General features: G+C 36.0%; 1 protein-coding gene across 9 annotated transcripts in view, besides 1 other annotated feature; it reads right to left on the bottom strand.

Annotated features, from left to right (window-relative positions):
• Positions 1-23,071, bottom strand: part of COL4A5 (collagen type IV alpha 5 chain) — a 257,708-nt gene that overhangs the window by 47,824 nt on the left and 186,813 nt on the right. The gene's annotated exons all lie outside the window — the stretch shown is intronic.
• Positions 7,033-8,232: an enhancer, noted in NCBI's record as "CDK7 strongly-dependent group 2 enhancer chrX:107884720-107885919 (GRCh37/hg19 assembly coordinates)". NCBI's record gives its function as "activates an origin of replication core promoter dependent on BRD2, BRD4, P300/CBP, MED14 and CDK7 cofactors, with strong dependence on CDK7, by STARR-seq in HCT116 cells {active_cell/tissue: HCT116}" and the evidence as "EXISTENCE:reporter gene assay evidence [ECO:0000049][PMID:35650434]".

Raw genomic sequence — 23,071 nt, 5'->3', positions numbered from 1 at the left:
GTTTCATTCTCCTACATGTGACTAGCCAATTAACTGAGCACCATTTGTTGAAAAGGGTGTCATTTCCCCATTTTATGTTTTTGTTTGCTTTATCTAAGATCCGTTGGCTGTAAGCATTTGGGTTCATTTCTGGGTTATCTATTCTGTTCCATCGGTCTATGTGCCTATTTTTATACCAGTACCATGCTGTTTTGGTGACTATGGCCTTAACAGTATAGTTTGAACTCAGGTAGTGTGATGCCTCCAGATTTGTTCTTTTTGTTTAGTCTTGCTTTGGCTATGCAGGCACTTTTTTGGTTCCAAATGAAGTTTAGAATTGTCTTTTCTAATTCTGTGAAGAATGACGGTGGTATGTTGATGGGGATTGTGTCAAATTTGTAGACTGCTTTTGGCAGTATGGTCATTTTCACAATATTGATTCTACCCATCCATGAGCATGGGATGTGTTTCCATTTGTTTGTGTCGTCTATGATTTCTTTCAGCAGTGTTTTGTAGTCTTCCTTGTAGAGAGGTCTTTCGTCTCCTTGGTTAGGTCTATTCCCAAGTATTTTATTTTATTTTATTTTATTTTTTGCAGCTATTGTAAAAGGGGTTGAGTTCTTGATTTGATTCTCTGCTTGGTCACTGTTGGTGTAAAGAAGAGCTACTGATTTGTGTACATTAATCTTGTATCCAGAAACTTTGTTGAATTCTTTTATCAGTTCTAGCAGCTTTCTGGAGGAGTATTTAGGGTTTTTGAGGTAAACGATCATATTGTCAGCAAACAGTGACAGTTTGACTTCCTCTTTACCGATTTGGATGTTCTTTTTTTCTTTCTCTTGTCTGATTGTTCTAGCTAGGACTTCCAGTACTATGTTGAAGAGGAGTGGTGAGAGTGGGCATCCTTGTCTTGTTCCAGTTCTCAGAGGGAAAGCTTTCAACTTTTCCCCATTCAGTACTATGTTGGCTGTGGGTTTGTCATAGATAGCTTTTATTACATTGAGGTATGTCCCTTGTATGCTGACTTCGCTGAGAGTTTTAATTGTAAAGTGATGCTGGATTTTGTTGAATGTTTTTTTTCTGCATCTATAGAAATGATCGTGTGACTTTTGTTTTTAATTCTGTTTATGTGGTGTATCACATTTGTTGACTTACCTATGTTAAACCATCACTGCATCCTTGGTATGAAACCCACCTGATCATGGTGGATTATCTTTTTGATACGCTGTTGGATTCAGTTAACTGGTATTTTGTCAAGGATCTTAGCATCGATGTTAATCAAGGATATCAGTCTGCAGTTTTCTTTTTTGGTCTCGGTATTAGGCTGATGCTGGCCTCCTAAAATGAATTAGGGAGGGCTCCTTCTTTCTCTGTCTTGTGGAATAGTGTCAAAAGTACTGGTGCCAATTCTTCTTTGAATGTCTGGCAGAATTCTGTTGTGAATTCATCTGGTCCTAGACTTTTTTTTGTTGGTAATTTTTTAATTACCATTTCAAGCTTGCTGCTTGTTGTTGGTCTGTTCAGGGTATCTAATTCTTCCTGATTTAAGATGGGAGGGTTTTCAGAGGTACAAGGAGGAGCTGGCACCATTCCTTCTGAAATTATTCCAATCAATAGAAAAAGAGGGAATCCTCCCTAACTCATTTTATGAGGCCAGCATCATCCTGATACCAAAGCCTGGTAGAGACACAACAAAAAAAGAGAATTTTAGACCAATATCCTTGATGAACATTGATGCAAAAATCCTCAATAAAATACTGGCAAACCAAATCCAGCAACACATCAAAAAGCTTATCCACCATGATCAAGTGGGCTTCATCCCTGGGATGCAAGGCTGGTTCAACATTCGCAAATCAATAAACGTAATCCAGCATATAAACAGAACCAAAGACAAAAACCACATGATTATCTCAATAGATGCAGAAAAGGCCTTTGACAAAATTCAACAACCTTCATGCTAAAAACTCTCAATAAATTAGGTATTGATGGGATGTATCTCAAAATAATAAGAGCTATCTATGACAAACTCACAGCCAATATCATACTTAATGGGCAAAAACTGGAAGCATTCCCTTTGAAAACTGGCACAAGACAGGGATGCCCTCTCTCACCACTCCTATTCAACTTAGTGTTGGAAGTTCTGTCCAGGGCAATCAGGCAGGAGAAGAAAATAAAGGGTATTCAATTAGGACAAGAGGAAGTCAAATTGTCCCTATTTGCAGATGACAGGATTGTATATCTAGAAAACCCCATCGTCTCAGCCCCAAATCTCCTTAAGCTGATAAGCAACTTCAGCAAAGTCTCAGGATACAAAATCGATGTGCAAAAATCACAAGCATTCTTATACACCAATAACAGACAAACAGAGAGCCAAATCATGAGTGAAGACCCATTCACAATTGCTTCAAAGAGAATAAAATACCTAGGAATCCAACTTACAAGGGATGTGAAGGACCTCTTCAAGGAGAACTACAAACCACTGCTCAATGAAATAAAAGAGCATACAAACAAATGGAAGAACATTCCATGCTCATGGGTAGGAAGAATCAATATTGTGAAAATGGCCATACTGCCCAAGGTAATTTATAGATTCAATGCCATCCCCATCAAGCTACCAATGACTTTCTTCACAGAATGGGAAAAAACTACTTTAAAGTTCATATGGAACCAAAAAAGAGCCTGCATCACCAAGTCAGTCCTAAGCCAAAAGAACAAAGATGGAGGCATCACGCTACCTGACTTCAAACTATACTACAAGGCTACAGTCACCAAAACAGCATGGTACTGGTACCAAAACAGAGATATAGATCAATGGAACAGAACAGAGCCCTCAGAAATAATGCCGCATATCTACAACTATCTGATCTTTGACAAACCTGACAAAAACAAGCAATGGGGAAAGGATTCCCTATTTAATAAATGGTGCTGGGAAAACTGGCTAGCCATATGTAGAAAGCTGAAACTGGATACCTTCCTTACACGTTATACAAAAATTAATTCAAGATGGATTAAAGACTTAAATGTTAGACGTAAAACCATAAAAACCCTAGAAGAAAACCTAGGCAATACTGTTCAGGACACAGGCATGGGCAAGGACTTCATGTCTAAAACACCAAAAGCAATGACAACAAAAGCCAAAATTGACAAATGGGATCTAATTAAACTACAGAGCTTCTGCACAGCAAAAGAAACTACTATCAGAGTGAACAGGCAACCTACAGAATGGGAGAAAATTTTTGCAATCTACTCATCTGACAAAGGGCTAATATCCAGAATCTACAATGAACTCAAACAAATTTACAAGAAAAAAACAAACAACCCCATCAAAAAGTGGGCAAAGTATATGAACAGACACTTCTCAAAAGAAGACATTTATGCAGCCAAAAAACACATGAAAAAATGCTTATCCTCACTGGCCATCAGAGAAATGCAAATCAAAACCACAATGAGATACCATCTCACACCAGTTAGAATGGCGATCATTAAAAAATCAGGAAACAACAGGTGCTGGAGAGGATGTGGAGAAATACGAACACTTTTACACTGTAGGTGGGACTGTAAACTAGTTCAACCATTGTGGAAGTCAGTGTGGCAATTCCTCAGGGTTCTAGAACTAGAAATACCATTAGACCCAGCCATCCCATTACTGGGTATATACCAAAGGATTATAAATCATGCTGCTATAAAGACACATGCACATGTATATTTATTGTGGCACTATTCACAATAGCAAAGACTTGGAACCAACTCAAATGTCCAACAATGATAGACTGGATTAAGAAAATGTGGCACATATACACCATGGAATACTATGCAGCCATTAAAAATGATGAGTTCATGTCCTTTGTAGGGACATGGATGAAGCTGGAGACTACCATTCTCAGCAAACTATCGCAAGGACAAAAAACCAAACACCGCATGTTCTCATTCATGGGTGGGAGTTGAACAGTGAGAACACATGGACACAGGAAGGGGAACATCACACATCAGGGACTGTTGTGGGGTCGGGGGAGGGGGGAAGGAGAGCATTAGGAGATATACCTAATGCTAAATGACGAGTTAATGGGTGCAGCACACCAACATGGCACATGTATACATATGTAACAAACCTGCACATTGTGCACATGTACCCTAAAGCTTAAAGTATAATAATAATAATTTTAAAAAAAAGTAACCAAGATCTGGGAGCTAGATATGCTTCCCATTTTAATACTAATTGTAAAAAAAAAAAAAGATGGGAGGGTTTTATTTTTCCAGGAATTTAGCCATCTCTTCTAGGTTTTCTAGTTTATGTACATAAAGGTGTTCATAGTAGCCTTGAATAATCTTTTTTATTTCAGTGGTGTCAGTTGTAATATCTCCTGTGTCATTTCTTAATGATGTTCTTTGGATTTTCTCTCTTCTTTTCTTAATCTTGGTAATGGTCTACCAATTTTATTTATGTTTTTGAAGAAGCAGCTATTTGTTTCATTTATCTTTTGCAATTCTTTTTTGTTTCAATTTCATTTAGTTCTGCCCTGATCTTGGTGACTTCCTTTCTTCTGCTGGGTTTGGGTTTGATTTGTTCTTGATTCTCTAGTTCCTTGAGGTGTGACCTTGGAATGTCAGTTTGTGCTCTTTTCGTCTTTTTGATGTAGGCATTTAGGGCTAAGAACTTTCCTCTTTGCACCACCTTTGCTGTATCCCAAAGGCTTTGATAGGTTATATCATTATTATCGTTCAGTTCAAACAATTTTTTAATTTTCATCTTGATTTCATTTTTGACCCAATGCTCATTTAGGAGCATGTTTCTTTTCTTTGCTTTCTTTTTTTTTTTTTTTTTTGTTGTTGTTGTTGTTGTTTGGAGACGGAGTCTTGTTCTGTCACCCAGGCTGGAGTGCAGTGGCATAATCTCGGCTCACTGCAACCTCCGCCTCCCGGGTTCAAGTGATTCTCCTGCCTTGGCCTCCTGAGTAGCTGGGATTACAGGTGCCTGCCACCATCCCCAGCTATTTTTTGTAATTTTAGTAGACATAAGGTTTCACCATGTTGGCCAGGCTAGTCTCAAACTCCTGACCTCAGGTGATCTGCCCAAACTGGCCTCTCAAAGTGCTGGGATTACAGGCGTGAGCCACCATGCCCGGCCCGAGAGGAAGTTGTTTAAATTCCATGTATTTGCAGATTCCTTTTGGATTTGATTTCCAGTTTTATTCCACTGTGGTCTGAGAGTGCTTGACATGATTTCAATGTTCTTAAATTTATTGAGGCTTCTTTTATGGCCTATCATATGGTCTATCTTGGAGAAAGTTCGTGGGCTTTTGAATAGAATGTGTATTCTGTGGTTGTTGGATGGAATGTTCTGTATATATCTGTTAAGTCCATTTGTTCCAAGGTATAGTTTAAATCTATTGTTTCTTTGTTGACTTTCTGTTTTGATGACCTGTCTAGTGCTGTCAGTAGAGGATTGAAGTTCCTCAGTATTATTGTGTTGCTGTCTATCTCATTTCTTAGGTCTATTAGTAATTGTTTTATAAATTTGGGAACTCCAGTGTTAGGTGCATATATATTTAGGATTGTGATATTTTCCTGTTGGACAAGGCCCTTTAGCATTATAGAATGTCCCTCTTTGTCTCTTTTAACTGTTGTTGCTTTAAAGTTTATTTTGTCTGATAGAACAATAGCTACTCTTGCTCGCTTTTGGTGTCTATTTGCATGAAAGGCTTTTTTCCACTCCTTTAAGTTTATGTGAGTCCTTATGTGTTAGGTGAGTCTCCTGAAGGCAGCAGATCATTGGTTGGTGAGTTCTTATCCATTCTGTAGTTCTATATCTTTTAAGTGGAGCATTTAGGCCATTTACACTCAATGTTAGCATTCAGATGTGAGGTACCATTGCATTCATCATGCTATTTGTTGCCTGCGTACCTTGGTATTTTGGGGTTTTTATTTTTGCCTTTTAACTTGTAGTTTTGTTTTGTAGGTCCTATGTGATTTATGCTTTAAAGAGGTTCTGTTTTTATGTGTTTCCAGGATTTGTTTCAAGTTTTAGAGCTCCTTTCCTCAGTTCTTGTTGTGGTGGCTTGGTAGTGGCGAATTCTCTCAGCATTTGTTTGTGCGAAAACAACTGTATCTTTCCTTAATATATGATGCTTAGTTTCACTGGATACAAAATTCTTGGCTGATAATTGTTTTGTTTGAGGAGGCTGAAGATAGGGCCCCAATCCCTTCAAGCTTGTAGGGTTTCTGCTGAGAATTCTGCTGTTGATCTGACAGGTTTTCCTTTATAGGTTACCTGGTGCTTTTGCCTCACAGCTCTTAAGATTCTTTCCTTCATCTTATCTTTAGATAACCTGATGACGATGTCCCTAGGCAATGATCGATTTGTGATGAATTTCCCAGGTGTTCTTTGTGCTTCTTGTATTTGGATGTCTAGGTCTCTAGCAAGGCTGGGGAAGTTTTCCTTAATTATTCCCCAAATATGTTTTCCAAACTTTTAGATTTCTCTTCTTCCTCAGAAACACCGATTATTCTTAGGTTTGGTTGTTTAACATAATCTTAGACTTCTTGGAGGCTTTGTTTATATTTTCTTATTCTTTGAGCTCTGAATTTCTTTCTTCTACTTGTTCAATTCTATTGCTGAGACTTTCCAGAGCATTTTGCATTTCTATAAGTGTGTTCATTGTTTCCTGAAGTTTTGATTGTTTTTATTTATGCTATCTATTTCCTTTAATATTTCTCCATCCAATTGTTGTATCATATTTTGGATTTCCTTACATTGGGCTTCACCTTTCTCTGGTGCCTCCTTGATTAGCTTAATAAGTAACCTCCTGAATTCTTTTTCAGGTAAATCAGGGATTTCTTCTTGGTTTGGATCCATTGCTGGTGAACTAGTGTGACTTTTTTTTTTTTTTTTTTTTTGGAGAGGGGGAGTGTTAAAGAGCCTTGTTTTTTCATATTACCAGAGTTGGTTTTCTGGTTCCTTCTCATTTGGGTAGGCTTTGTCACAGGGTAGGTCTAGGGCTGAAGTCTGTTTTTCTGATCCCTTTGTCCCATGGGATGTTCCCTTGATGTAGTACTCTCCCCCTTTTCCTATGGATGTGGCTTCCTGTGAGGGGCACTGCAGTGATTATTGTCTCTCTTCTTGGTTTAGCCACCCAGAAAGTCTACCCAGCTCTCAGCTGCTACTGAGAATTGTCTGCACAAAGTCCTGTGATGTGAACTGTCTATGGTCTCTCAGCCATGGGTACGAGCACCTCTTCCAGTGGAGGTGGCAGGGGGTGAAATGTACTCTGTGAGGGTTCTTATCTTTGGTGGTTTAATGCTCTATTTTGGGGCTGGTTGGCTTCCTGCCAGGAGGTGGCACTTTCCAGAAAGCATCAGCTGTGGTAGTATGGAGAGGAACCAGTGGTAGGTGGGGCCCTAGAAATCTCAAGATTATATGCCCTTTGTTTTCAGCTACTAGGGTGGATAGGAAAGGCTCATCAGGTGGGGGCAGGGCTAGGGACCTCTGAGCTCAGACCCTCCTTGGGCAGGTCTTATTGTGGCTGCTGTGGGGGATGGAGGTGAGGTTCCCAGATCAATGGGGTTGTGTACCTAGGAGGATTATGGGTGCCTCTGCTGAGTCATGCAGATTGTCAGAGAAGTGGGGGAAAACCAGCAGTCACAGGCCTCACCCAACTCCCACACAAATCAAAGGGCCGATCTTACTCCCACTGTGCCCCTATTAACAGCCCCAAGTCTGTTTCCAGGTGGTGGGTGAGCAGGGCTTGAGAACTTGCCGCAGGCTACCTGCCACCAAGCTGCAAAAGAAAAGGGCTTGGTTCTTCCCCCATCTGTGGAGTCTGCACACTGGATTCATGCCCTCCCCCGAGTTCTGGCCAGGAGGCTTCTCGCCTGGTTCAAATTGTTACAAAGTTCAGCTGGAGGCTTCCTTCTCCCTGTGGTGCTTTCCTCCACTCCTCTGGCTGCCCTCCCGATGGATCCCTGTGGTGCCAGGCAGGAATGGCCTGCTTGGTGACCCAGCAAGCCCCCAGGGCCTTTCCTGCTGCTTCCTCTACCCCTGTATTTCACTTGGCTCTCTAAATGGACTCAGCTCCAGGTAAGGTCAGAAACTTCTCCCACAAACAGACCTCCAGTTTCTCCAGTGGCGGTGTGTATTTGGGAGAGAAGGATCTCCACTTTCCACTTCTATATTTGGGGCACTCACAGTATTTGGGGTGTCTCCTGGGTCCTGCAAGAGAAGTCCACTTCCTTCAGAGGGTCTGTGCATCCTCTTGTGATTACTGGTTTGTTGTTGCAGTTGATCTGGAACTAAATTCACAATGCGTACCTCTGTATGCTGCTCTGTCTGTCCGAGTTGGAGCTGTAATCCAGTCCTGTCTCCCGTCCACCATGATGATCCTCACTCTCCTCAATTTTCTCTGGGATAGCACATTTTGTTTAGCCATTCTTGTGATTTGGGTTTTCTTCACTTTTGGCTGCTGTGAGTATTCAAGTACAAGTTTCTGTGCAGAAATACAGCTTCATTTCTCTTGGGAAAATACCTAGGAGTGGAATTGCTGAGCCATATGATAACTCTTTATTTAACTTTTTGAGGCACTGTCAAATATTTTTTCACAGCAGCTGCATCATTTTACATTCCCACTGGCAATGCAAAAGGGTTCTAATTTCTTCACATCCTTGCCAACATTTGTTATTTTCTCTCTTTATTATGCCTACTCAAGTAAGTGTGAAGTGGTATCTCAATGTGGTTTTGATTTGCATTTTCATAATGACTAATGAGGTTAAACACCTTTTCATGTACATACTGGCCATTTGTACATCTTTCTTAGAGAAATAGCTATTCAATTCCTTTGTTCATTTTTTCACTTAAAAATATTTTATTTTTAACTGATAAAAACTATATACATTTATAGAGTATGATGTGATGTTATGATACATGTATACATTGTGAAATGATTAAATCAAGCTAATTAATATTTTCATTTTATGTGGCTTTTTAGAGTATCAAAATATACAAAACATAAATCTTACCATTTTAATTATTTTTAAGGGTATAGTCCTGTGGCATAAACAACATTCACACTTTTTGCAACCATCACCACCATATATCTCCAGAATTTTTTTTATCAACCCAAACGGAAACCTTATACTCATATCCACAATGAAATTAGTTAACACATCTAGCACTTCACCGAGTTACAATTTTTTTTTCAGTGTGTGGTGAAAGCAATTAAGATCTACTCTCAACAAATTTCAAGTATACAACACAATATTTTAAACTATAGTGCCCATGCTGTACATTTGATCCCTAGAGTTTATTCATCTTATAACTAACTAAATGTTTGTACCCTTTGGCCAATATCTCCTTATTTTCCCCTCCCCCAACCCTGAGCAATTACCATTCTACCTTCTGTCTCTATGAAATTGACTGTTCTAGGTACCTTATGTAACTGGGGTCATGTAATATTTGTCTTTTTATAACTGGCTTATTTCACTTAGCATAACGGCTTCAAAGTTAATCCATATTGTAGTATGTATCAGAATATTATTCCATTTTAAGGTCAAAAAATATCTATTGTGTGTGCATACCACATTTTATTACACATTCCTCTATCAATGGACATTTGGGATGCTTCCACCTTGTGACTTGTGAATAATGTTGCTAGAAGCATGGCTACAAAAACATCTCTTTGAGGTCCCATTTTTGTTTTCAATTATGTTAGATGTGTCTCCAGAAGTGAAATTGCTAGATCATATGATAATTCTGTGTTTACTTTTGAAGAACTGCCATAATGTTTTCCATAGTGGCTGCACAATTTTACATTCCTACTAGCAATACAGGAGAGTTCCAACTTCTCCACATCCTCACCAACACTTGTTATTTACTGTTTTTTATATAATAGCCTTCTTAATGGGTATGAAGTGTTATCTCACTGTAGAATTGACTGCATTTCCCTAATGATTAGTGATGTTGACCATCTTTTCATGTACTAATTTGCCATTTGTATATCATCTTTGAAGAAAGGTCTATTCAAGTCATTTGCTTATTTCTGAATTGGGTTGTTTGATGGCTTTTGTTATTGACTTGTAGGAGTTCTTTTTAAAATTCTGGAAATTAATCTTTTACCAGATATACAATTTACAAATATTTTCTTCCATCCCATGAGTTGCCTTTTCACTCTATTAGTAGTGTTCTTGGATGCACAAAAGCTTAACATTTTGATGTTGTCCAATTAATCTATTTTTTCTTTTGTTGCCTGTGATTTCGGTGTCATATCCAAGAAATCATTGAAAAAAATCTAATGTCATGAGGCATGTTGTCCCATGTTTTCTTCTAAGAGTTTTATAGTTTTAGGTCTTACATTTAGGTCTTCATTCTTTTTTGAATTAATTTTATATATGATGTAAGAAAATGGTTCAACTCCATTCTTCTGCATATGGACATTCATTTTACCCAGCATGCATTTGTTGAACGCCTTTCCCCATTGAGCACCCTTGTCAAAGATCATTCAACTACAGACCAGAGATTTTATCTCTGGTCTATCTATTACATTGGTCTATTTGCTGTCTTTATGTCAGCACCACACCGCTTTGATTACTATAACTTTGTAATATGTTTTCTAATAAAAAATTATTATGAGTCCTCCAACCTGGTTCTTTTTTAGAATTGTTTTGGCTAGTTGGGGTCCCTTGAGATTTCCTTGTGAATTAGACTAAGTTTTTCGTTTCTGGAAAAAAAAATGCCATTGGAGTTTTGATAGGCGTTGCATTGAATCTGTGTATTGCTTTGGGTAGTATGGACATTTTAACAGTATTAAATCTTCCATTTATTTCTGTCTTCTTTAATTCCTTTTAGCAATATTTTGTAGTCTTCAGAGCACAAGTCTTCCACCTTCTTGGTTAGGTTTATTCTTAAGTATTTTATTCTTTTTGATGCAACTGTAAATTTAATTTTCTTAATTTCCTTTTTGGAATGTTCATTGTTGATGCATCAAAACATTCAAAACTGACTGCTGTGTGTTGATTTTTTATCCTGAATCTTTGCTGAATTTGTTTATTAGTTCTACCTATTTTCCGCATATATGGTATCTTTGTAGAGTTTTCTACATAGCATTATATCATCTCTGAACAAAGATAATTTTACTTCTTCCATTCCAATTAAGATGACTTTTATTTCTTTTTCTTGCCTAATTGGTCTGGCTAGGAATTCCAGTACTATGTTGAAAGGAAGTAGTAAAATTAAGAATCCTTAACTTCTTCTTGGTCTTAGAGGAAAAGCATTCAGACTTTTACCATTGTTAGCTGTGGGTTTTTTCATATATGACCTTTATAATAAGTAGATAGTTCGCTTCTATTCCTAGCTTGTGGTGTGTTTTTTTAATCATGAAACAGTGTTGAATTTTGTCAAATGCTTTTTTTTGCATTAATTAAGTGATCATGTGGGATTTCTCCTTCATTCTGTTAGTGTGATGGTGTATTACACTAATGATTTTTGTATGCTGAACTATCCTTGCATCCCAGGAAAAAATCTCACTTGACCATGGCATATAATCCTTTTAATATGCTGTTGAATTCAGTATGCTAGTATTTTGTTAAGGATTTTTTGCATCAATATTCATAAGGGATTTTGGTCTGTAGCTTTCTTTTATTGTAGTGTCTTTGTCTGGATTTGGTATCAGGGTAATCCAGGTATAATATAATGAGTTTGGAAGTGTTCCCTCCTCTTCAATTTTTTTGGAAGACCTTGAAAACAAATGCTGTTAATCCTTCTTTAATTGTTTGGAAAATATTTGGGAGGCTGAAGATCACTTGAGCCCACAAGGACAAGGCTGCAGTGAGCCGTAACTGCACCACTGCACTCCATCCAGCATGGGCAACATAGCGAGACCCTGTCTCAAAAAAAAAAAAAAAGATTGGTAGAATTCACCAGTGTAGCCATCTGGTCCTGAGCTTTTCTTTATTGGAAGGTTTTTGATTACTGAGTCAATCTTCTTACTCACTTTAGGTCTATTCATATAATCTACTTCTATGATTCAGTCTTGGTAGATTGTGTCTTTCTAGGAATTTGCCCATTTCATCCAGGTTATCTAATTTGTTAGCAAACACCTGTTCATAGCAGTCTCATATATTTTTAGTTCTGTAAGATTGGTAGTAATGTCTCCTCTTTTATTTCTGATTTTAGTTGAGTCTTCTCTCTTTTTCTTGTAGTCAAGCTAGCTAAAACTTTTTCTATTTTGTTATCTTTTTGAAGAAACAACTTTTAGTTTTGTTGACTTCATCTATGATTTTTTTAGTTCTGTATTTTATTTATCTCTGCTCTAATCTTTATTATTTCTTTCTTTCTGCTAGTTTTGGATTTAGTTTTTCTTTTTCTAGTTCTTTAAGATGTAAAGTTAGGTTTTTGATTTGAGATGTTTCTTCTCTAATGTAAGTATTTACAGCTATTAATTTCCCATTTAGCATTGCTTTCACTACATCCTGTACGTTTTGGTATGTTGTGGTTTCATTTTCATTTGTCTCATTATATTTTCTGCCAGACATGGTGGCTCATGCCTGTAATCCCAGCACTTCGGGAGGCCAAGGAGGGTGGATTGCTTGAGGTCAGGAGTTCAAGACCAACTGTCCAACATGGCAAAACCCCATCTCTACAAAAAATTAGCTAAGCATGGTGGTGCGTATCTGTAATCCCAGCTACTCAGGAGGCTGAGGCATGAGAATTGCTTGAGCCTGGAAGGCAGAGGTTGCAGTGAGCCACAATCACGCCACTGCACTCCAACCTGGGTAACAGAATAAGACTCTGTCAAAAAAAAAAAAAAAAAAAAAAAGACATTACATTTTCTAACTACCCTCGTGATTTCTTCTTTGCCTCATTGGTTAAGAGCGTCTTGTTTAATTTACATGCATTAGTAGATTTTCCAGTTTACTTTCTGCCATTGATTTCTAATTTCACTCCATCATGATTAAAAAATATATGCTGTGTGGTTTTAATCTTTTTAAGTGTATGAAGACTTACTTTGTGCTCTAATATATTGTCTATTCTGGAGAATGTTCCATGTGCAGTTGCAAAAATGTATATTCTGCATTTTTCTTGGATAGAATATTTTGTATATGTTTGTTAGGTCCAATTCACTTTGTGCACTTTTAAAAACTGAGTTATTTGCTTTCCGTTGAATTATAAGAATTCTTTATATATTCTGTATACAAATCCTTTATCTCATATATGATTTGCAAATATTTTCTTTCATCTCGTGAGCTGTCTTTTCACTTTCTTGATGGTATCATTTGCAACAGAAAACACATTAAATTTTAATAAAGCCCCATTTATTTTTTCTTTAGTTGTTTGTGCTTTTAGTGTCATAGCTAAGAAACCATTACCTAATGAATTTTAATATAGCCCAATTTATTTTTCCTTTAGTTGTTTGTGCTTTTAGTGTCATAGCTAAGAAACCATTACCTAATGCAAGGTCACAAGAATTTAGTCATCTTTTATCCTAATATGTTTATGGTTTAGTTCTTATATTTAGGTCAGTAATCCAGTTGGAGTTAATATTTGTATACAGTATGAGATAGGGGTCCAGATTCATTCTTTTGCAGACAGGTATCCTCTTTTCCCAGCATGATTTGATTTTTGTTTTGTTTTTTATTTTAGATCCAGGGGTTATGTATGCAGGTGTGTTACATGGGTATATTATGTGATGTTGATGTTTGGGCTTCTAATGTTCCCATTGCCCAAGTAGTGAACATAGTACTCCATAGGTTTGTCAACACTTCCCCCACTCCTTACCCCTTTTGGGAATACCCAGAATTTATTGTCCCATCTTTGCATCTGTGTATACCCAATACTTACCTCCAAACTTTAAGTGAGAACATGTGCTATTTGGTTTTCTGCTTCTGCATTAATTTGCTTAGGATAGATAGTAGCCTCCAGCTGCATCCATGTTCCAGCATCATTTGTTGAAAAGACTATCCTTAACTCCCTTTAAATTGTTTTGGTACCTACGTTGAAAATCAGTTGACCAAAAATGTATGGGTATTTCTGGACTCTATCTATTCCATCAGTCTCTATGTCTACCCAGTGCTGGTATCATAGTTGTAGTAAGTTTTGAAATCCAGAAGAGTGAGTCCTCCAAATCTGTTCTTCTCAAGATTTCTTTGACTATTCTGGGTTCCTTGCACTTCCATATGAATTTTAGGATACACTTGTCAATTTCAGCATAAAAGCCATCTGGGATTATGAAAGGGATGAATCTGTAGTATGATTAGATTTTAAAAAGGAGTTATGAAGGTTAGAACAATTACACTATATTAAAAGAGCATTACAGATTCATATAGTTCCATAGAGTCATTATATTTGAGAATTCCAGATATCTTAGACACCCTCTACTCCAGCCCTTTCATTTTAGATAAAAAGAAATACTATGTATAGAATGCTTTATAATTTACAAAGTGTTTCATTCCTTTTCCTTTTTTTTCTTTTTTATGAAGCATGTTTTAATCTCATTGAAACCTCACAATAACTACAAAAAGTAGGATTTTTTTTCTCCCACTTTTTATGGACAAGGTACTGAAGACACTGAAGAATTAAGTGACTTATCAAGGTCATGTACACAAACCCAGGACTCAAATTTCTGCCTACTGACTCCTTGTCTGGGGTTTTCAGTATACTTTATTAATCATGCTTTTTGACTAACAGAGCTGCTGTTTCATAAACAGTGACATCCATAAAACAAACTACCTATCTGATATTTTACCACTATTCCTATTTCTTAACAACTCAGTAATTACAGAAATTTGTCTTATGCTTGTTTTCCCTCAATCATACCATTATATTTCCTAAAACTGTTCTTCTTCTCTTCCTTTATAATATGGGTACTCTTTGTTTCACGTGGTAGTGTGGAACTGGAAAAATGAAACTGCAAACCAAAATCATGTAAAGTGATCTTAATAATCAATGGGGGAAAATGTAATTATTCTATGACCTTTAAAAATGTTATCAAAACATTAAAATATGTTTTAATGTCAGATACACATGTATAAAGAAATAAAAAATAGTAAATCCAATATTTATTTGGTAAATGCTAATTTAAACATTAGAAACATTGAAAAATAAAGTGATTTATTTCATTGTAAAAAAGTTACCAAGAGTAATTTGAACAGTGTCTCCCTTCTTCTCGTATAACTTACAATACAGAGCACACATCTTTTCTATGCCTTGGCACAGAAATTGTCTCACTGTTTCTAAACTGAGATCAGCTTCCAGCATGTTAACCTTTATACTTTCAAACTTGTAAAATATCTCCAAGAGTTCCTTTAATGTGAAATTTGTGATGGCAACACTTCCTCTGTGACATCTTCATCCTTTTCATCAGTGCTCCTTTCCTCATTAATGTTGATAAGTTTGCCTTCACTAAGTTCCTTAGCTGCATATCTAGAGTCTCTCAAATGGTGGCAGTGTCTACAATTCTATGGTTGGCTATTAATTCTATAACCCCATTTACTTTAGATTCAAACCTTACTTCCAGTGCTATCACTTTCCTTTTTTTTTTTTTTTGTTGCACTTTCTTCTTTGTTGGCTAATTTTCTCTTTTGATTATCCATTTTTGTAAAATGTCACATTGCTTTATCACTGGGAGACAAGGAGGTGACACAACTAAATGCTTTGCTGTCAGTGCAGGAACTGAACAGATGCATGGTTACTAATTAGTGACAGAATTTGAAAGAAGTGAAATTACTGTCCACTGATTGTAATGCACATCTCTTATTTAGATGATGATTTATAAATGGAAGAGTTAATATATCATAGCAACTAAAATTTAAACAATGTTGTTGTGGATCGGTGTTAAGTAATGATAACTGAAATTTGTGCAAAAGCAAAGATCACCTGTACCTAATAGAACTGAGCTAAAAAAACTTTTATTTTTTCAACATGTCACTATTTTAAGGTATAATAATGCCATCTGAAAGAAACAACAGACTACTTTACATTATTTCCACAATATCATCTTTGTTAAGTTTCTAAATTTAGTGTAAAATTTGCTTACTGAAATATACTTGTAGGTCACACAGAAGAACTAAAAGCTAACCTCTTGCTTGTAGAGTTGAATATACTTTGGACATTTACCAATTAAAACATATTTTTCTGCTATCACCCATTAAAAATGTAGAGACAATTTATTATGGTAATTTTGATTCCATTAGTAAAATGTTAAAATTCACTCATTCCAGAAAAAAAAATTCATGAACAAATTTGGAAAAAAAATTTAAATACAATTTTATATCAGTGAATAAAGAATTGAGTTTGTAACAAATGAGGCTCAGTCAACTGGATATTTATTTGGGAAAAAAAATAAAGTTAGTTTCTCACCTCATACAACATACAGAAATACTCAGGTGCATTAAAATGCAAATGTACAGAAAAAAACCATGAAAATCCTGTAAGAAATATATAAATCTATTTTTATAATCTCAGGATATAGAAGTCTTCATAAGTAGAAGACTTTTTTTCCAAAAAATCCTAAAATCTATGTGACAGGCCTCAAGCCTTCCTTACCTCTTCCTCTCTCTCCCCCTCAATTGATGAATTTCCTATTTCAGCAACAAAATATTGACAATCAAAAAACTATGCTCCTGAGACTTTGCTGAAGTTACTTATCAGCTTAAGGAGATTTGGGGCTGAGACGGTGGGGTTTTCTAAATATACAATCATGTCATCTGCAAACAGGGACAATTTGACTTCCTCTTTTCCTAACTGAATACCCTTTATTTCTTTCGCCTGCCTGATTGCCCTGGCCAGAACTTCCAACACTATGTTGAACAGGAGTAGTGAGAGAGGGCATTCCTGTCTTGTGCCAGTTTTCAAAGGGAATGCTTCCAGTTTTTGCCCATTCAGTATGATACTGGCTGTGGGTTTGTCATAAATAGCTCTTATTATTTTGAGATACGTTCCATCAATACCTAGTTTATTGAGTTTTTAGCATGAAGGGCTGTTGAATTTTGTCGAAGGTGTTTTCTCCATCTATTGAGATAATCATGTGGTTTTTGTCTTTGGTTTTGTTTATGTGATGGATTACGTTTATTTATTTGCATATGTTGAACCAGCCTTGCATCCCAGGGATGAAGCCAACTTGATCTTGGTGGATAAGCTTTTTGATCTGCTGCTGGATTCAGTTTGCCAGTATTTTATTGAGGATTTTTGCATCGATGTTCATCAGGGATATTGGTCTAAAATTCTCTTTTTTTTGTTGTGTCTCTGCCAGGCTTTGATATCAGGATGATGCCGGCCTCATAAAATGAGTTAGGGAGGATTCCCTCTTTTTCTATGGATTGGAATAGTTTCAGAAGGAATGGTACCAGCTCCTCTTTGTATCTCTGGTAGAATTCGGCTGTGAATCCATCTGGTCCTGGACTTCTTTTGGGTGGTAGGCTATTAATTATTGCCTCAATTTCAGAGCCTGTTATTGGCCTATTCAGAGATTCAACTTCTTCCTGGTTTAGTCTTGGGGGGAGTCTATGTGTCGAGGAATTTATCCATTTCTTCCTAGATTTTCTAGTTTATTTGCATAGAGGTGTTTATAGTATTCTCTGATGGTAGTTTGTATTTCTGTGGGATCGGTGATGATATTCCTTTTATCATTTTTTATTTTGTCGATTTGATTCTTCTCTCTTTTCTTCTTTACTAGTCTTGCTAGCGGTCTATCAATGTTGTTGATGTTTTCAAAAAGCCAGCTCCTGGATTCATTGATGTTTTGAAGGGTTTTTTGTGTCTCTATTTTCTTCAGTTCTGCTCTGATCTTAGTTATTTCCTGCCTTCTGCTAGCTTTTGAATTTGTTTGCTCTTGCTTCTCTGGTTCTTTTAATTGATGTTAGGGTGTCGATTTTAGATCTTTCTTGCTTTCTCTTGTGGGCATTTAGTGCTATAAATTTCCCTCTACACACTGCTTTAAATGTGTCCCAGAGATTCTGGAATGTTGTCTTTCTTTTCATTGATTTCAAAGAAAATCTTTATTTCTGCCTTAATTTCATTATGTACCCAGTAGTCATTTAGGAGCAGGTTGTTCAGTTTCCATGTAGTCATGCGGTTTTGAGTGAGTTTCTTAATCCTAAATTCTAATTTGATTGCACTGTGGTGTGAGAGACAGTTTGTTATGATTTCTGTTCTTTTACATTTGCTGAGGAGTGCTTTACTTCCAACTATGTGTTCAATTTTGGAATAAGTGCAATGTGGTGCTGAGAGGAATGTATATTCTGTTGATTGGGGTGAAGAGTTCTAGAGATGTATCATAAGCATTCTTATACACCAATAACAGACAAGCAGAGAGCCAAATAATGAGTGAACTCCCATTCACAATTGCTTCAAAAAGAATAAAATACCTAGGAATACAACTTATAAGGGATGTGAAGGACTTCTTCAAGGAGAACTACAAACCACTGCTCAACGAAATGAAAGAGGACACAAACAAATAGAAGAACATTCCATGCTCATGGATAGGAAGAATCAATATCGTGAAAATGGCCATTCTGCCCAAGGTAATTTATAGATTCAATGCCATCCCCATCAAGCTACCAATGACTTTCTTCACAGAATTGGAAAAAACTATTTTAAAGTTCACATGGAACCAAAAAAGAGCCCACATTGTCAAGATAATCCTAAGCCAAAAGAACAAAGCTGGAGGCATCATGCTACCTGACTTCAAACTCTACTACAAGGCTACAGTAACCAAAACAGCATGGTACTCGTACCAAAACAGAGATGTAGACCAATGGAACAGAACAGAGGCCTCAGAGATAACACCACACATCTACAACCATCTGATCTTTGACAAACCTGACCAAAACAAGAAATGGAGAAAGTATTTCCTATTTAATAAATGATGCTGGGAGAACTGGCTAGTCATAAGTAGAAAGCTGAAACTGGATCCCTTCCTCACACCTTATACAAAAATTAATTCAAGATGGATTAAGACTTAAATGTTGAACATAAAACCATAAAAACCCTAGAAGAAAACTTAGGCAATACCATTCAGGACATAGGCATGGGCAAGGGCTTCATGACTAAAACACCAAAAGCAATGGCAACAAAAGCCAAAATAGACAAATGGGATCTAATTAAACTAAAGAGCTTCTGCACAGCAAAAGAAACTACCATCAGAGTGAACAGGCAACCCACAGAATGGGAGAAAATTTTTGCAATCTACTCATCTGACAAAGGGCTAATATCCAGAATCTACAAAGAACTTAAACAAATTTACAAGAAAAAATCAAACAACCCCATCAAAATGTGGGCAAAGGATATGAACAGACACTTCTCAAAAGACATTTATGCAGCCAACACATACATGAAAAAATGCTCATCATCACTGGCCATCAGAGAAATGCAAATCAAAACCACAATGAGATACCATCTCACACCAGTTAGAATGGTGATCATTAAGAAGTCAGGAAACAACAGGTGCTGGAGAGGATGTGGATAAATAGGAATGCTTTTACACTGTTGGTGGGAGTGTAAACTAGTTCAACCATTGTGGAAGACAGTGTGGTGATTCCTCAAGGATCTAGAACTAGAAATACCATTAGACCCAGCCATCCCATTACTGGGTATATACCCAAAGGATTATAAATCATGCTGCTATAAAGACACATGCACATGTATATTTATTGTGGCACTATTCACAGTAGCAAAGACTTGGAACCAACCCAAATGTCCATCCATGATACACTGGATTGAGAAAATGTGGCACATATACACCATGGAATACTATGCAGCCATAAAAAAGATGAGCTCATGTCCTTTGTAGGGACATGGATGAAGCTGGAAACCATCATTCTGAGGAAACTATCGCAAGGAGAGAAAACCGAACACCGCATGTTCTCACTCATAGGTGGGAATTGAACAATGAGAACACTTGGACACAGGGCGGGGGACATCACACACCCTGTCATGGGGTGGGGGAATGGGGGAGGGATAGCATTAGGAGAAATACCTAATGTAAATGATGAGTTAATGGGTGCAACAAACCAATACGGCACATGTATACATATGTAACAAACCTGCACGTTGTGCACATGTACCCTGGAACTTAAAGTATAATAAAACAAATAAATAAATAAATAAAATAAAAAACTATGCTCCTGATCTTTCTCACTAAACCTGCTTTTTTCAAAGTTTTTGTATTTCAGCATATAGCAACTCCACTCTATTTGCTCAGGATAAAAACTGGAGTCATTCTTGATTCCTCTCTCTCATATTCCATACACAAATCTTCCTGGCTTGACATATATTATATATTCAAAATCTGCCCATTTCTTATCACTTCCCCTGCCACTATCTTGATCCAAGCCATCAACATCATTAGCCTGCATTATTTAAATATCACCATAACTGGTTTCCCTGCTTTCCATCCTTGCTCCTCTATGATCTGTTTCCAAAACAGGTGCTGTGATAGTTCTTAAAATTAATGTACAATCATGTTAACTCTTTCCATTTGCTCCCCGATTCACTCAGGAGTAAAAGCCCCTACTATGATGACCTATAAGGCACTATATAATCTTTCCCCCATTACCAATCTAATCTCATCTCCTACTTTGTTTCAACTCACTCATTCTGTTTAACACACTGGACTCATTTATGTTTCTCAAACATGTCAGGTATGCTCACACCTCAGGGTTTTTGTATGACTTACTCTCTTACTGCAGTGTGGTCACTGCTCTATCTTATCAGAGAGACTTTCCCTTAGTAACCTATTTCAAAATATAACAATTTCCAGAAATTCCTATCATCAAGTCTTGCTTTACTTTTCATCATGAGATTTATCACATTCTAACATAATACAGACTTATTTATTTTGTTTATTGTATGACTCCTTGACTAAATATAAGCTCCTTGAAGGCAGTAAAAGTTTGTCTGTTTTGTTCAGGCTGTATCTCCAGCACCTAAAACAGTACCTGGTAAATCATACATACTCAACAGATATTTTGTGAATGAATAAATAAATGAGTACATAATTTGCCTATGTAAAAATTTCAAACATCTACATAACGAAATGCACAGTAAACATGCTATAAGACAAACAACTGACTGGGAGAAAATATTTGCAACAAATATAACAGACAGTGGATGCATCTTCACATTTATAATGTACTTTTACAAATCAGTATGAAATACATAACCAAGTCCTCTCGTAAAACAGTGAGGCAAAGAGTATAAATAGACAATTTACGAAAGAGTTAAAAACATCTGAAACCCCACTTGTAATCAGGAAAATTCAAATATAAACAATAATGATACACTACTTTTCACCCATTAGATTGGTAAAATTTTTTAAATTGATAACACCCAATATCTGTAGAATGAGGAGAAAATCACTTATACTAATCATGAAAGTATAAAGGTGTAGAGTTACTTAATTGGAAAATTTGGCAGTAAATATAGATATTAAAAAGGCACATATATGCTGGGTTCTAGCAACTGCTCAGAATTTATTCTATGGTGATATTTACCAAAGATTCTTAAGATATGTATGTAAGAATATGGATAAGAATCTTCAGTGCAAAATATGTTTGTAATCATGAACCTAGAAATAATTTTCATATTCATAATAGGTTAAATTATTTATAGTGAACCCCCATAAAAATACTATATAATTATAAAAAATAATAAGGCATACATTTATAGGCTGATAAAGAAAGTTTGTCAAGATTTACTATGTGATGACAGCTAGGTACAGAGCAGATGTATAGTATAATTTTGTATATATTAATTAAAATATGAGAAAACATCTACATTTGGAAGGTCCAGCATCATTTCATGTATCAATAATTGGGGAAAAATATTTACAATTTTAATTGTAATATGCTTTCCATCATAATAAGATGCATTCCAATATTAGATATTTTGGATGTAAAAAATGAGTATTAAAATTGATGAAATACCATATATGCATGCATATAAATGCATTTAGAAAACCTTTCTTGAAGAATATGAGAGAAACTACTAAAAGTGGTTACCCTGGAGAAGAAGAACTGGGGATTTGGGGTTTGCAAACATGTAAAAAGGAGACTTTTTATTTTACATCTTTTCATACTGGTTGTATTTTAAAATCAAGTTCATATGTTACATTATTATAAGTGTTTTAAAAAGCCAAAAAATTAAATGCACTTATCCTTTGATCCAACAATTACACTTTTATGAAACTATACAGTATAAATAACTACATATATGTCCACAGATATAATGTATGACGACAAAGAAAATTGTCTAAGATATATTGAAAAAAGAAATAAAAAGGGGTAAGTGATAAAGCAAGGTACAGAGTAGCATGCATACCATGATTCTACATATACACAATGTGTAGAAAAAACCCCAAACTCTATATGCATATATATAAATGTATAGAACAAGGAATTCAAATTTATATATCAACTATTGACAGTGGGCCTCTATGAGGAAAGGAATGGTAAAAAGAGGATGGGGCATGAAGAAGATTTTCACTCTTACCCTTAATATGTCTATATTATTTTTTAATAAAATCATATATTCAATGTCACTGGTAAAATATAAATATAACAGAGAAAATTAAAATTCACTTCAAGAAACTTTACATTGTTAAACTGGAATGAACATACAGAAACTTCTCTTGATTATCTCTTTATAAGACATTGATCAATTAGATGATCAAAATAAAGTATTTTTATATAATATTAAAAGAAAAATTATCCTTACATACAATTCAATAAATTCTTATATCACTGGGAACTTTCACTATTTCCATGAAAACTGAGTACCAAAATTCCTTTTCTAATACTTTTTAGGTCTGTGGTCTGACTACATGATTAAGGAGTTACTACTTTTTGACATGGAACTAAACAATTGTCAAATAAATTCCTGTTGAGTCCAATGATTCTGAAACAAATTCTAAATTTGATTACTTGAGAAACACCACCAAAGTTTTCACATTGAAGAGAGAAGTAGAGGGAATTGTAAAACTGTATTCAGAGGACTATCTCAGACACGCAGTTAAGAATACTACTACATTAGCATTAACTGTCACTTTGTTTATAAGTCTTTTCAAATTAGTTAATAATAACATTAGGACAAAGGCCAACAACTCCATCACTA

This window comes from Homo sapiens, chromosome X (genome assembly GCF_000001405.40).
Source record: "Homo sapiens chromosome X, GRCh38.p14 Primary Assembly".
NCBI classification, from domain to species: Eukaryota; Metazoa; Chordata; class Mammalia; order Primates; family Hominidae; genus Homo; species Homo sapiens.
The sequence above is the reverse complement of the archived record's forward strand: the minus strand, read 5'-3'. Positions and strand labels throughout refer to the sequence as shown.